Genomic DNA, 15,284 nt, shown 5'->3' with positions numbered 1-15,284 from the left:
GGTATCCAGAGTGCAGCTCAACTTCTTGGTTAAAATCAACACATAGGAACTAAACCACTGGCCTGCTGTGGTGACTTACATCTGTAATTCCAGCACCCTGGGAGGCCAAGGTGGATGGATTGCTTAACCCCAGGAGTTCGAGACCAGCCTGGGCAACATGGTGAAATCCTGTCTTCATGAAAAATACAAAAAATTAGCCAGGCATTGCAGTGCCAGCTAACCAGGAGGCTGAGGTGGGAGGATACTGTGCCTGGTAGTGGAGGCTGCAGTGAGCCATGATCATGCCACTGTACTGCAGCCTGGGTGACAGAATGAGACCGTCTAGAAAAAAAAAGAAAAAGAAAAACGCCCAACACAATTTATTCTTCTTCCTTCTGTCTTTTCAACTGCTCCAGTGTGTTCAAGTTTCCAGGAACATTCCTAAGGGAAGGGAAGGGCATTCACTGGCCAGAGCTGGGGAGCGTTAATGAACAATTAAAAGTGGCTTTGGTGAAGAAAGCAAACGGAAGCCTGCTGCATGCATGGGAGAATAATATTTTCCCTCTGAAGAGGGCAGTATGCAACCAAGGGCAAGTTGTGTACTCAGGTTTTTCTCCCAGGTCTTGCAGTGCAGCCCTCAGAAGCTGAAGCATTTATTTCCAAGAGCTTATTTCTGAATGACAAACATCTTCATACATGAAATAGGATTCTGGAGGTTTGAGCACAGTTACACACTGCCTCTTGCCTGAGGGGACACAGTGCAAACTGATACTAAGGTGGTTATGTAAGATGGATGGAAGAAACTCCAACGATTTCTTTTTCTATCATCTGCCCTCCCAAACCGTCCTCTATGAAATTAAACAACAGCACAGCATTTCAGACGGTCTCTGATGTTTGCAGAAGAAAGTGTTTCTTTTTCTACTAAGACTGCATGCAGCCTGGTTTCTGCTGCCTAAAGCAAAACACCTTCTTGAAAACATCCTTTGCACAGAAATAAAATGTTGGGACTGGGGATCTTAGCTCCTGGGATGCATTTATCAAACCAATCACAGTAATTATAATTAAAACAAACTAAGTGAGAGCTGAGCATGAAACACATTAGCAGGAAACCTGAACTGCATACAATTAAGCCCTGCTTGGTGGCATTTTGAGGTATGTCATTAATACATTTTTGGGGTGGAGAAGATTGATTTTTTTTCCTTAAACATCTTGGTCTAGTTGCATGAAAGGCTTCAACAACAGTTACAAAGGAGGAATAAGGATAGACACCATTAACTGCTAAGATTAGAGCTTTAAGACAGATGGCCAAAGGTAGCCTAATTGGCTATTTTTTAAAAAATCTTCCTCAGACACACTGTTAAATATGTTTATTGGGCATTAATTTAACCTATGTCTGTTTTAGGGAAGTAAAGAATTGAAGATCTTTAGGGAAAACACAGCTTCCATTCCTAGCCTCAATGCATTAAGTCAGCAGTGTTGAAAACCTTTCCACTCTTCCCCATTGTCTAGAGGAGAAAGTCCGTTTTCCTTACAGGTTCTTCATTCAGGTGTCGCCTCTTCAGTAAAGTCCTTACCATATTCTCCTCTCCTAAACCTGGGCTCCCTCGCCATTACAACAGGTATCACACTGGTTTTTAACTCTATTTATTTGATCTTTCTCCCCTGGGTCTCCAGCACCCAGCACATGACCCAGCACAGAGCAGATGCTTCAAAAACGTTGAATGAAAAGCGACCAAATAAATAAATAAATAAATAAATAAATAAATAAATAAATAAATGAATGATCTATCCTTCTGGGTCCACCACAAACCAAATCCTCCAGGTAATCCTCCATCTTGCCCTACCCTGGATAGATGTCAGCTGGCTCTGCAATGGAAATTCTGGAAGACTTTTACGAAAAATACATAGAAGAGTAGCTTAGGAGAGGCAGCTCAGGTTGGAAGGGATGTGTGTGAGGTAGGGTGTGTGTGTGTATGTGTGTGTGTGTGTGTGTAGCACTATGAAGCTCCCCATTAGAATAAAAGCACAGGATTTTACTTAAATCTTATTTGGGGGATTGGGTGGGTGACGACCGACTCCAGGGCACACCTGGGTGTATCTTCCCATTTTGCCTAGGGATGGGAGAGCATAGAAGAGATTTTTCTCCAAGCCACTTCAAATATGTATATTTTTAATTTCTATTTTGAGATTGTAGATCCAAATGCAGTTCTAAGAAATAATACATAGACATGCCATGTACCCTTCACCCAGTTTCCCCCGATGTTGACACGATGGCAACCAGGACATTGACATTGATAAAATCCACCCACCTTACTCAGATTTCACCAGTTTTATATGCGCTCATTTGTACGTGTGTGCGCGAGCGTGGGGTGTACACTTTATATAATATTTCTGAAAGTGGCTTTTCCCTTGCAATGGAGACTGGGAAGGGGTCCAGCCTGATCCATCCCTGCCACGGAGTTGACTCCGGCAGACAGCAGTCTATGCTTGTATTCGTCTCTCGCACACAGTAGGTGGCCAACGACCGTCCACATAAACCCTGGAATTTGTCATGTCAGGGCGCGTGCAGGAGGGGAGCGCCACATTGTAAGGAAGAAAACCGAGACTGAAGTGCCCAGTATTTTGGAAGCAAAAATCAAACAAACAAAAAACTTGACGATTTCCCCCCGAATTGTGAATTAGCTAGCCGGCTAATTACTCCAAAGCGATCCTGGTGTCGGCACTCGCTGCGACCGCCGAAGAGCGCTGTTTCTGAGCCCCGCTCCCGGCTCTGCCGGCGGGGTAGGGGACGCGGGGGCTCCTCCCACCCCTACCGCCGCGTTCACCCCTTTCTTCCCTGGGGCTGGACTGTTTCACCCCGTCTCCAGGCAACGGCCAGGCGCACCGGGCGGGACGTCATTTCCTGAGGAGCCCGTGGGGAGGGGGCGGGCAGGAGGAGGGACGAGGGGGCGGGGCCCGGGCCGGGCTGGCAACGAGACGGCGTCGGAACTCGCTGGAAGACTCGGCCCGGGTGGCTCAACAGTTCGCAAAGTCCGGGCTTGCGGCCGGGCGGCGCAGAGGCGCGGAGGCTCCCCGGGCGGCTGCATCCCGGGGCTGCCCCGGACATGCCCCGCACCCCTTGTCGGACGCCCGCGCCGCTTCACCGGCTGCCACTCCCCGGAGTGCTCTGGGACTAGAGCGCCCTCCGCCCCAACTTCTGACTTTGGGGTCCCCCAGCCCTAGAGGAACGGGCGCCCGGCTGGGGGAGCCCCGGGCATGGTGTGACGGGGCAGTCAGGTCAGCTTTGCGGCGCCCCCAAACTCCAGCCACCCGTCGTCTCCGTGCCCTCCAGAATGTAGCTGCTGACCCCGCGCCCCCCGGACTCCAGCAGCAGTCTCCGCCACCTCCGGGCTCCAGCAGCCAACTCTTGTGTCTCTCAGGAACCCGCCGACGTCTCCGCGTCCCCCGGATTCCAGGTTCGCGACCCCCGCCGTCTTCGCGCCTCCGGGACTCTAGCAGCGGTCTCCGCGACCCCCTAGGATCCAGCCACTGTACCCGTGCTCCCCAAACCCAGGCTCCAGCCGTCGTCTCCGCGCTCCCGGGGATCCAGCTGTCGCGCCAGTACCCGCGAGGACAGCGGCACCGCCCACACCCCGCGCGCTCAGAGCCCGGCCGGGCCTCGGCGTGGAGATGAACGCGCCGCTGGACGGCCTGTCGGTGAGCTCGTCCTCCACCGGCTCGCTGGGCTCGGCGGCCGGGGCGGGCGGCGGCGGGGGCGCGGGGCTGCGGTTACTGTCTGCCAACGTGCGCCAGCTGCACCAAGCGCTGACCGCGCTGCTGAGCGAGGCGGAGCGGGAGCAGTTCACCCACTGCCTGAACGCTTACCACGCGCGCCGCAACGTCTTCGACCTGGTGCGCACCCTGCGCGTGCTGCTGGACAGTCCGGTCAAGCGGCGCCTGCTGCCCATGCTTCGTCTGGTCATCCCGCGCTCCGACCAGCTGCTCTTCGACCAATACACGGCCGAGGGCCTCTACCTGCCCGCCACCACCCCCTACAGGCAGCCCGCCTGGGGCGGCCCCGACAGCGCGGGGCCAGGGGAGGTGCGCCTGGTGAGTTTGCGGCGTGCCAAGGCCCACGAGGGCTTGGGCTTCAGCATCCGTGGGGGCTCGGAGCACGGCGTGGGCATCTACGTGTCTCTGGTGGAACCAGGCTCTCTAGCTGAGAAGGAAGGACTGCGGGTCGGGGACCAGATTCTGCGCGTCAACGACAAATCCCTGGCCCGGGTGACCCACGCGGAGGCCGTCAAGGTAAGGCTGTGGTTTGGAGAGAGTCTGGGGCAGAGTATGGACAGAGTGGCACAGCTTTTTCAGTAACTCCATGCTGTGTGTCCTTAGATGAATCACTTGGCCTTTCTGGGCTTTTTTTTTTTTTTTAATACTTTAAAACAGGAATGTATAGCTTACAGAGCAAATAGCTCTCAGGCACTGGGAACGTAGTTCTGCACAGACATGGCCCTTGCCTTTGTGAGGCTTAAAAGCTAGTGCAGGTGATAGTAACAAATACTTGAGCAAATGTGTGGTTACAATGTGTGAATAGGGCTGTGGATTCTTATGAGCATTAAAAGAGATAAAATCTCTGCTTGGCATAATTAGGTGGCCTTTGCTACTGCCATTCTGTGGTTTTTTGTTTTTTGTTTTTCCCTGAAACAGTTTTGTTAGCTCTTAAGTGGCCTGAGGAGGCCGTTTGTGTGATCCACAGTGCACTGGCTTGACGCTGCTGTTTTTGGACCAGGTTGTGTATCCTGAAGCAAGTCACTTGCCCTCTCAGGACCTCTTGTTCTCCACTTGGAAAATGGGGCCACTGGACCAAATAAGCGGTCCCTAACCTTTTTGGAAATGAGACTCCTGCCTGAATGTAAAAAATAAATTCCCTAGCCCCTGAGAGTGTTTGTCCTTTCTGCCATTTGTTAATTGAGAAATATAACCTCATGACAACAGGCTTCCAGGGATTTAATCATGCTTTTTAAAGGAGTGTGTGTGCTTACTGATCTACAGCCCAGGGCTACTGAAAACCAGTTGGAGTATGATGGATAGTGTTGGGTCCAGGGTGGATTCATGGATCCTTTGCAGGCATTTTTCCCCCTTCCCCCCTCCCCCGACCTCCTTTGCGTACAAGAAGTGAAGAGTTTGGGGGAAAAGGGACACATGCTCTGCTTCTGCAGAGAAATGCTTCTCAGGGGGTTGGACTGTTCTGTAAACCCCCACTCCCCGCCAGCGCAGGTGTTTTGAACTCCAGCTGAGGGCCTGCTGGCTGCTGGGAAACTCCTAGGCAGCAGAGGCCCACGACTACTTCCTCCTGAGTGCCGTTCAGTGGCCTGTGTCCAGGTGAGTCTTGAGCCGTCTCCCTGGCTGTGCACCTGATGTTGGCTTCCCTCATTTGCTTCCCAGCCCATCAACCCCTTTGGAGGAAGCCCTTGAGGCTTTCAGAAACTTCTTTGTAGCTTCTGGAAAAAGGCCGATCGGTTTATACTGCATCAGGGTGCAGTGGGCAAAGCTCGTTGTGAGTTTCCATGCAACAATTCCTCTTCCCCCTCTATCAATCTTTTCCCTTTGTTTAGCATTCCATATATTTATAAAGAAGTAGTCCATTAGCCTTGGCCTTAAATGGTCTGGAGTTCCCAGATGATAAATTTATGCACTAAAGATACTTGAGGCAAATGATCATTTGTAAATGTGGATTCAGTTTTAGTGGCAATTTAAAAAGACTTGGGTAACTTAACGGTCACAAGGTGATAAGGTGATATGCTTTGGAAAGGCTGTCAGTTACCTTGGGCATTCAAAACGCAGACTGTCCCTTCAATTTGCACCCCAGACTCAGCTGTGCCATAAAGGTCAAGCTGCTTGGCTGTGAGTTTCAGTTTACCAGCAGTGCTCCCCGCCTGCCACCCCCGCCTTCCCCCACCACCATTTCATTGAGCCCGCTCCAGATCTTCTCTCTGAATCTCCCTCAGTAACACCATGGTGCTGTTAAACTGTGACTCAGAGCAGCACCAGCCTTTAGCTTGTTTGTTTACTCTTGCTGCTTCCAGAGTAAAACCTAAACTCTCCATGTCATAGTTTTTGAAGCCTGAGAATAAACCCTTGCTGGCAAGGGAGAGGTTGATAGGAGCAGAGCTGTCCTTTAAGTGTGGCAGCCTGTGGTGCAGGAGCCTGTGTGAGCTGAGCAGCTCTGTCTCTTGACTGTCATTTTCCCAACAGAGGTGGCTACATTGGCAAAATGAGCTCTTGCCCCAGGGTCACCCCACTTCTAGCCATGGCGGGACACATAACCTGCCTGACATGGACCCTTTGGACCCTTCAGAAGCAACAGGCAAAATGATGGCTGCTTTGTGTTACATTAACCCCAGGAGGAAAAGAGGACAGACTTTTCTTTGGTGGGTGGAATTTTAAAATGGAGGAGGCGGAACTTCTTCCCTGAGGCCATGGCACTCCTCGTGTAGTTTCAGGGACAGTTTAAAAGAACACCTGGAGAACTGTTGACACATTTCCACAAAATTAAGAGCGAAAAGCCCCTTAACTGAAAGCTGAAAGAGGCCCCAGCTTTTCTACTAGGCACAGACTGCCCTTAACCAGGATTTCTCCACGGGGAGCCGTTCTTTGTAAACTGCAGTGCTGCGAGTCACCATGTCGGGGATTTTATGGTAAAAGTACATTACTGTTAACTGGACTTCAGACTTCATTCAAATTTCACCAGTTTTTCTGCCTATGTCCTTATTTTATTCTAGGATACCACATTGCATTTAGTAGAAGATGTGTTTTCAGTCTTAACAATATTTTTTTTCCTGCGATGGAAGGTGGGGTGAGGGGGAGGAGATCCTCTGAGCTTCCCAAACGGAGAGATTCAGTGTGTGTGTGTGTGTGTGTGTGTGTGTGTGTGTGTAATAAAAATTAAATTAAATTAAATTTTAGGAATCAAGTTACCTAATAATTTATGAATAAAGGAAAGTTGCAGCTTTTTAAAGAGTGGGTCGAGCAAAGTTTTTTCCACTTCTCTTTCTGATAAATCAAGCATCCATTGTTACCTGAAGCAGTTCAGTGAGGATTTGATCCTATATCCATTGGGGCTTCCACCCCTCTCTTGAAACCCATTTGCAAAATCAGCAGTGACAGGTCCAGATAAGGTAAGCCATGGACTATTTGCAATTATGTTGAAATGTTTGATTTTTGAAAAAATATCTTGAACAGGAGCCAAACTAATAATAATAAAAAAGTAGACCTTTCAAAGGTTTTTAGCCAAATGTGCTTGATAAATTGGCCAGAGAGTCCACAGACCAGGGATGCTGCCTTAGGCCCTGCTGCATACTTCCTGTGTGACCTTGGGCAAGTCACTGACCCTCTCTGGGTTCCAGGGTGGATGGGCCAGGAGCTGTCCAAGATCCCTTCCAGCTTGGACAGTCTGTGATTTGCTTGGTATGTGCTACACAGGAGGCATTTAGAATGTCTAATCTGATGTCTTCTTGTTCTTTTGAAATTGCTTTCATTTAAGGCAGAATAAGGAAAGTTGGCTAAGGATTGGGAGATGAGGATCTTGGCACTCTTGTGTAGCATCCTACTATATCAGGAAATTGATGGGTTATACACTGTACTGACGAGAGCTTGACTGCTGTCTCTTGACCCACAAACACCAACCCTGGTGCTGTTTCGGAGCAAATGAGGAAACAATAGGATTCTGGCACAAACAGCACCGCCCTGGGAGCATTCAAAATCAAATTCACTTGCTCACTTGCCTTCTGAATCTCCTGGTTATGCGGTAGCAGAACACAGGGTAGCGGGGCACTGCTGGGATATGTGCATATATGTGTGTGTTTCATCTCAATAAAAATTAAACGGCTTCCTTATGGCCTCAGCACCCCCATGGGTGGATTCAAGGAGCATATTAGAATTGAAATATTCCAGAAGTTAAAAACTGTTGCCGGTAATTTCATTTAATTAGAGTGATTGCACCCTCCCTCCCTTTGCATAATAACCTGGAAAGAATCTGTCCATGTTAATATAAGACATTATATTTAGTCCAGCACGTTCTAAATGACACAATTGTCCTTTTCCCATTGTGCATGGTTAGCTGAAGCCATTGCAAATTATTACCTCTTCCAACTTTATGTCTGAAATGTAGCTTCTGCCCCGGTCTTGTTCCTGTGTCCAGTTTGGAAACCGTGGCACCATGGCATGCACAGACCTTCCTCTGGCCCTGTTTTCACTCTTGGGTCCTGTGAGTCCTGCCAGCAATGACATGTAGAAAAGCTCACTTATTAATAAGCCCATTATTGAGTAGATTTGTGGCTGCTGCATATCCATTTCTTTAATTTAGTCTTGTATATTTAGTAGGCTCAAGCTGACGCTCAAGGTTTTAGAAAATTTAATGCCTAGGTAGGACAAAATCCTCTTTCATCTGGTTATTTACTCTTTAAATCAAAGAAGCATTTTGTAGGATGGAAGAGAATGCCCTTAAAAAAATCGGTATTTTTATAGAAAATTATTGCCTCCTGACTTGAAGCTGGACATGAAAGAGATATAGAACCACACCAGCGCTAGTGTCTTGTTTTCCTGTCATTCTCCTCTGCTGACAAACCCAGCTTTGTTTATTACTTGCCATCAATTCATCAGTTGGTTGGAGCTGCAAAGATAAGTGTGATTCTTTAACCCCCCGACCAATTGGATTGTCCGTGTGTTGCTGCTTTCCAACTCTGCCTGCCGGCAGCCGCACCAGCGGTACACAGCCTGCCTGCACCTGTCAGTGCCTGCAGCCCCTCGCTCATGTGCCTGACTGCTCAAGCTTGAATCACATGTACAGTCTCCTCAGAGTCATAATCCCCCCTCCATCCTGCAAAGGGCTTTGCACCGAAGCAGGCGTCCATAGGGGATTAGGCTCCAACTGGTGATTTCTTGCAAGGTTCTTTTATGACCTGGAAGGGAAGCCTTTGGTTTACCCTTCTCAGGGACCCCAGACTAATCCTCAGCCAGGACCAGCGAATCTGATTGGAAAGAATGACATTAAATGGCTGGAGGTATCTGGAGGTTGAAATACAAATCTTTCAAAACTGACTTCTTTTTTAAATTCCTGAGGAAGAATCTGATATTAACTCTGAACTCACGCAGACTTCTAATCATGCCCCAGGGTAGGGGTGATTTTTAAGATTTTGTGCTGCTGACATTGGCCTTTTACTGTTAAAGCCTGGCAAGCGGAAAGGGTGCAGAGAATAGGAATCACTTTCTCTCCATTCTTTTTCCGTGCATTCCTGATGTCAGCTGCAGGAAGCAGCATCATGGGGCAAGTGCACTTGTGGTTATTTATTTTTTCAATAGACTATTTATTAAAGCAGTTTTCGGTTCACAGCAAAATTGAACAGAAGATACAGAGATTTCCCATATAGTGGACACATGCTAGCCGCCCCCATTATCAACAATTGATGAACCTACATTGACACATCATTGTCACCTGGAGTATGTAATTTACATTGCACTTGCACTTTACTTTATTGGAAGCCTGTTGGGAACAGGGGAGACTGACATTAACGATTACCTACTATGTGCTGGGTGCTTTGTCCCTCCTGTTCCCTTTAACCTTCCCCAGGGGAGGCAGGCAGGCGAGGAGGGTCATGCTCAAGGAGATGGAACTGGGGAGCTTAAGGTCCCCATTGGGATTAGGAACCAAGTGGCCTCCTTGCTTGGACCCCAGCCCAAGGATTTTGTAGTCAGCCTCCTGGAAGACAATGCCAGCCAGTCCGCTTACTAGAAAGTGTGGCAGATGTCACATTTTGTACTTGACATTTGAGGGCCTTTTAAGAACCACCCAGAGACTTCACCTTACTAAGGTTGGGGGGCGGTCTGAGACCTACATATCAAGGGAGAGTGGTGTATTTCAGCCTGTTCCATCGTCGAGTAGAGACATGCATCCATACATTCTCTGAGCAGTGCTTACCACACACAGGCCTGTGGCTGATACTTGGACATCAGAGATGAATAGGACATGACCTCTGTCCTTGGGGGATAGAGACCCATCCGTGGCCACAGGTCACCCAGCATTTACAGTGCTGTGACATTCTCATGCCTCTGCATCCCTGCCACCCTCTCTGAAGTAGTACCCCTACCTGCCCACTCCTCTATCCTTTTGCCTGGCTTTAGTGTCCTGCAGCCCATTTGTCACTGCTAAAAGGAAATTTCTGTATGTCTTTTTATGGTCTGCCTCCCCCATTACAAGTTTGCTCCAGGATAACCAAGATTTGATCTGCCTTGCTTATTCACGCATCCCCAGCTCCCGGCACACAGTAGGTGCTTTAATATATAAATAAATATTTGCCGAATGAATGGAATGATCTTGCTCCTAATCCAGCGCTAGTGAATTCAGAATTCCCCAGCTCCTGAGAGTGAGATCTGATGGAAGTCTGTGTATGGCAGCGTTGTGGGTGCTAGACAAAAACACTGAAAAAAGCCACTGGCTCTAGTGTGTGCTTTACCACCAAGCTGGCTTTGTGGCCGTGGGCAGTTCACGTGACATCTCTGAACCTCAGTCTTTGGAGCTGTGAAATGGGCATAACTACCTCCCACCTGCCTCCTTCCCAGGTGGCTGTGGGGAGCAAATGACTACTAGGTGTGGCAACATTTGGAACCCTCTGCTATTTGAGTGTAAAGCCTTTAAAAAAAATGTGGTCTGTGCCTGGATACTCAATGGCTTTTCTCCTCCCCTGAAGCCCAGAGCCACTCTACAAGACCCTTTCAGCTAGTTCATTTGTCACTTTGCTCTTAATTTTCAAACCACATCCCCAGAAGTGGGTTATTTCAGCAGCCTGATTGTGTCTTTGATTCCAAAATAGAATTATTTATGCATTCTGAAGCAATCAATGAACCAATTTTGGGTGAGATATATCTTCTGGCTTTTGGGCTTCTTTCTTTTTTTTTTCCTTTTCTTTTTTTTTTTAAAAACAAAAAACAAAAACTGTCCAGGTTTCTAGAAACCCAGCATTTTGGGTGAAGGCCAAGTTTCCAGTAACCACACATATGCTTAAAAGCTGCTTTATTCTCTGAGCATGCATAAATGGATTTATTTTTTCTTCCTTTACAGTCCCAGCACCTTTGGCTCCTTCCCCGTTTGAGAATTTGTGTTCCTTTTGCTAAATTGGCTGTGGCTTTGCTTCAGTTAGCAGCCAGTTTCGTCATGATTTTTTTTCTCTCCACCTGAGTTTCCTAATATCAGCATCCTCTCAACTCTGTATGCAAAGCAAATATATCAGCCTTCCATAAACAGGTCCCCAAATGTCCTCTTTCCTGGATTCTAAAGCTGTAGGCTGCAGGGAAGAACAGAGTAAAATGATGTAAAAAAGGATATTCCCAAATACCTGTGTGTTAGAGCCTTAGAAGTGGTAATTTACAATGTTAGCTTGCTTAGGAATTAACAAACTCCCCAGCCAGGCCTTAACCATGCTAAAGTTTGGGAAACACTGTCTTCCTTTAGGATTCCTCCATCCCCAACACTGTTTATCCCCATAAAGGCTTGACCAGAGAGGTGAACCTTTCCTGTCCCCATCCTTAACTATCTTGCAGCAAGATTCCACTTGTGTAAGGTCAACTGACGTACTGGAAAATCTGAGGAAGGGTGGTATGTACCCAAGAGGTTAGAGATGGGTTTTGGAGATGGACCTGGGTTCATCTGACAGTGTAACTTGGCTGTGACCTTGGGCAGGTCCCTTTGCCTTTCTGTTACTCAGATATCCTACCACCAAACCTGGCCCATAGTCCTCACAAACATGTCATTGTTGCTGTTGAACATCAGAAATCTGGAAAATATGGCAGTGGAGGTCCTGCTGCAAGCATTGTAATGAAAAATGGTATGGACTGCCTTCGCTTGTCTTTGAAAGTCTTCTGTTATGCCTGCTTAGTTTTTTTGTTTGTTTGTTTGGTTGGTTGGTTGGATTTTTTTAGGTGGCATTGGAAGAAAATACTGGACTCAGGGCCCATGTGATCCACTGTAGCTGTTTGAATTGCAGAGTCATTTACTGAATGTAGTCAATATCCCCACATAGACAGAGTTTCTTTAAAAACGTAATTGCTCCTATCTGGCTTTTGGCATCGGCATTTTTGCTTTATAGCAGTAATAAAGCCTGGTGGTTGAATAGAATTCTGTGTCCCCCCACCGTCCCTTCTGATGATCTGTGAGGCCTTATAGCAATGTGGGTGGCATACCAGACAGTTGCATGACCCAGAGTGTGACAGCATTGTCCCCTGGATCAGCTGCATCCATAACTTCGTTTCCCAGCAACCTTCCCTGATGGCCTCCCCAGGGACCCTGATGAGGAGGGAGAGGAGGTGGCTGTTTTTAGAGCCCATTAAAGCAATTAATGCAGGTGAAATTGGTGATTTGTTAACATGGGCTTCTGCACTTAAAAAAAAAACCCTGTAATTTATTTGAGCTACATCTGAAAAGGTGTACAAAGTCTCATTAAGAGGTTTCTGATTAAGAAAAGAAACGTGGTCCAGCTTTCAGAAATTAACCTCCCATGTGGATAGGAAAACTTTGAAAGTCAGGGGAGGGATTTTCCTTCTGCCATGTCCATCCTCCTGTCCCTGGACGGAGGGGTGGCATCCTTTGTAGTGTTTGGACCCAGTGTACCCTTTTCCTTTTCTTCATCTCTTTCCTTCTGCCTCCCTCTTCTTTCTCTTTAGAGAATCATACATTTCTCCCAAATTTTCCCTGACTCTCTTGAGCCCCTCTCCTCCTGCAAGTCCTTCCAATCCTGAGATTTTTAAGTCTGCTTCTCAGGTCCATATACATGTACAGCTCTCCCTCAAATTCCTCTTTCCCCAAATGTCTGCATCTCCACCCATCTTCTAGCCTTGTTGTCTCTGCACAGGATCTGTGCCTCCTTTTAGTGTATTTATCTATTTTTTAATTGCCTTCTCGTTGTGCTTTCTCTCGCTCTTAAATTGTGGATATTTCCCCTGCTCTTGTTCCCCACTTTCTCCCACTTGAGTATTGCACCAGCCCCAGGGAGGCTGGACTCTCCAGGCTTTACTTCTTTCCAGCACTTCTCAGACCACACCTCCCTCTTCCCCGTCACCACCATTGCCACCAGCACTGCCGAACTGTAGCATCCTCCTGGCCAGCCTGTCTGTCTCCTGTCTTGCTCGTCTGCCCACCGGTCTGATGTCCATCCTGTTGACCGGGTACACTCTCTAAATACATATCTCATCAAGCTGTGCCCTGTCTACAACCCTGCTCTTGAGCTGGGAGCCTGCAGGGCAGACGCCAAGCTCCTCAACCTGGTGTTTGGGCTGCCCATGCTCTGATCTTTACCAGCAGTCCTGTTCCCCAAGTTGTGTCCACTCTTGGCCAAGCAAGCAACATACCCTCCTCTGAAGCAAGGCTTTCACTCTCTCCACCTGTTGACACCACTTATCCTGTTAGGTGCAACCTCAGTACGTCCTCTCCAGAGGACCTGCCTGCTCACCTCTGCCGCTGTCCCCACCCTGAGGAGCCTGCTCTTCCCTCCTGAAACCCGCTCCCCCCCCCAGTGTCATGGCCTTTCTCACTTCTGTCATGACACAGATAATGCATTTCTTGGTGTTTTCTTTTCTTTGTTGCTCATTGTATGATAATAACCTTTGATAGAGGGCTTAGAATGAACCAGACACTGTTTTCAGTGTACGTGTATAAACTCAGTTAAGCCTCATAATCACCCTGTGAAGTTCAAGTAGGTATCATTTTCATCACTTTGTTTTCCAAAATTGCCAAGAGTTTGTCACTTGCCAGTCATCCCAAAGGTGGAAAGTGACAGAGCCAGGATTTACACCTAGGTTTTGTTGACTTGAGGGGTTGCGTCTTTGCCCCAACAGCAGAGAGAAGGGATGCCCCACAGTGCTCGAGCCTGAGCTCCGAAGCCCTGGGTTTCCAAGACTGGCTCTGCCACTTTCTAGCTGTGGGGCCTTGAACCAGCTTCCTAACGTCTCTGATTCTCAGATTCCTCTTCAGTGAAATTGTAATGGGAATAATAGTAAAGTAGCAGACAAGTTACTTACCTTCTCTGTTCAGGTTTCCTCATCTCTAAAATGGGGATACTGATGATTATGCAGACAATGTGTTAAAGCACTGGGTGCATCTATTGGTCTGAACATTTGATGATCATTTACCATGTTCAAACTCCTGTGTTGGGATCTGTTTTCCTACCAGATGCTGCTCTTCCTGGCAGTGTAGAAGGTACAAAACAGATAACACGCACAAGATGTTTACAGTACTTAGCGCACTAAAAAATATCACCACCACTGGGAATCTTCTGTGACATCACAAGCTCTGTGTGGGTTTCATGTAAATCCCCCACTGACACTTCACCATACCCCCCCGGGAGAGGACTCTGAGAATTGGAAGAGGAGGTGACCCATCACGGGCACACAGTCAGGGGCACACAGTCAGGGGTGGTGGGACTAGGATTTGAACCCAGGTATTCTGGCCTCCAAAGTGCATGCTCATTGCCAGGGCTCTCGGCTGGCTGCTAACGGAGAAGCACGGCATACAGCCCAGCGTGGTGCTGGCAAGAGCAGGAGTTCAGTAAATGTGCGTTTCCTCCCTGAGTTTTTTCCTTGTGGAAATGGCTTTGTAGCTATTTGATGAGAAAACCTAGGCTGCAGCTTCCCTGTTCTCCCCTGGGCACACTGTATGCATTTTATTGACTAGATTTCAGGGACAGAGGTGGCATTGGGCACTTTTTCCTTTTTGTTTTTTTCCTTTTTCCTCTCTCTTATCTCTCTCACCATGCCTTGACCTTTGTCAGGTTTTTATTTTGTACGTTGTCTGTGGAAATTCCCTGATAGATAACTGGTGACTTGTGAAATTATCTCATTGAATGGTGGAGTCTCTGAATTTGTCTACACTGCCTGATCAGCACACTTCAAGGATGAGAGGAGGGTCTCTCTCCTGGGCCTCATGTGAAAGGCTGGTGGTCATTAACTCTGCTGTCACAGACTGGACAAGTTAAAGGGGCATTTTGTTTGGTCATAGGAAACAAATGGAATAGAGGAATTTGTCTAGGCTGTTAAATAAAACGTTTTTTCTCCCCACCCCCCCACCCCCACTTTTTTTTTTTTTTTAAAAAAAAGATAGGGTCTTATTCTGTTGGCCAGGCTGGAGTGCAGTGGCGCGATAACAGCTCTCTGCAGCTTTGAACTCCTGGGCTCAAGTGATCTGCTTGCCTCAGCCTCCCAAGTAGCTGGGACTACAGGTGTGCACCACCACACCTGGCTAATTGTGTTTATTTTTGGTAGAGATGAGGTCTCACTAT

At 47.8% G+C, this 15,284-nt stretch overlaps 1 protein-coding gene across 29 annotated transcripts in view, besides 4 other annotated features; it reads left to right on the top strand.

Moving 5' to 3' along the window:
* Positions 2,707-3,597: an enhancer, noted in NCBI's record as "H3K27ac-H3K4me1 hESC enhancer chr9:117267133-117268023 (GRCh37/hg19 assembly coordinates)". NCBI's record gives its function as "activates a minimal SCP1, AML or CMV promoter by ChIP-STARR-seq in naive and primed H9 embryonic stem cells {active_cell/tissue: H9 hESC(naive and primed)}" and the evidence as "EXISTENCE:reporter gene assay evidence [ECO:0000049][PMID:30033119]".
* Positions 2,883-3,182: a silencer, noted in NCBI's record as "silent region_20213". NCBI's record gives its function as "represses an Ori minimal core promoter by ATAC-STARR-seq in GM12878 lymphoblastoid cells {active_cell/tissue: GM12878}" and the evidence as "EXISTENCE:reporter gene assay evidence [ECO:0000049][PMID:35858748]".
* WHRN (whirlin) overlaps positions 2,977-15,284 on the top strand; it is a 103,394-nt gene continuing 91,086 nt past the window's right edge. For 19 of the 29 annotated variants that reach the window (XR_929757.3, XR_929750.4, XR_929749.3 and 16 more), the window contains exon 1: positions 2,977-4,266. Coding sequence is in view for 20 of the 29 variants with exons in the window: in XM_047423169.1 (XP_047279125.1) it covers positions 3,649-4,266 (618 nt within the window). In the remaining 9 variants the exon portion in view is untranslated. Of the gene's footprint in view, positions 4,267-5,234; positions 5,344-15,284 lie in introns of those variants that run through there. The other 10 variants (XM_047423168.1, XM_047423165.1, XM_047423164.1 and 7 more) reach the window with 2 other exon arrangements.
* Positions 3,598-4,488: an enhancer, noted in NCBI's record as "H3K27ac-H3K4me1 hESC enhancer chr9:117266242-117267132 (GRCh37/hg19 assembly coordinates)". NCBI's record gives its function as "activates a minimal SCP1, AML or CMV promoter by ChIP-STARR-seq in naive H9 embryonic stem cells {active_cell/tissue: H9 hESC(naive)}" and the evidence as "EXISTENCE:reporter gene assay evidence [ECO:0000049][PMID:30033119]".
* Positions 14,067-14,361: a silencer, noted in NCBI's record as "tiled region #12257; HepG2 Repressive non-DNase unmatched - State 23:Low, and K562 Repressive DNase matched - State 5:Enh". NCBI's record gives its function as "represses a minimal TATA promoter and a strong SV40 promoter by Sharpr-MPRA in HepG2 and K562 cells {active_cell/tissue: HepG2 | K562}" and the evidence as "EXISTENCE:reporter gene assay evidence [ECO:0000049][PMID:27701403]".

Source organism: Homo sapiens, chromosome 9, assembly GCF_000001405.40.
Source record: "Homo sapiens chromosome 9, GRCh38.p14 Primary Assembly".
In the NCBI taxonomy this organism is placed as follows: Eukaryota; Metazoa; Chordata; class Mammalia; order Primates; family Hominidae; genus Homo; species Homo sapiens.
Note: the sequence above shows the minus strand (reverse complement) of the source record. Positions and strands in the feature narration are given on the sequence as shown.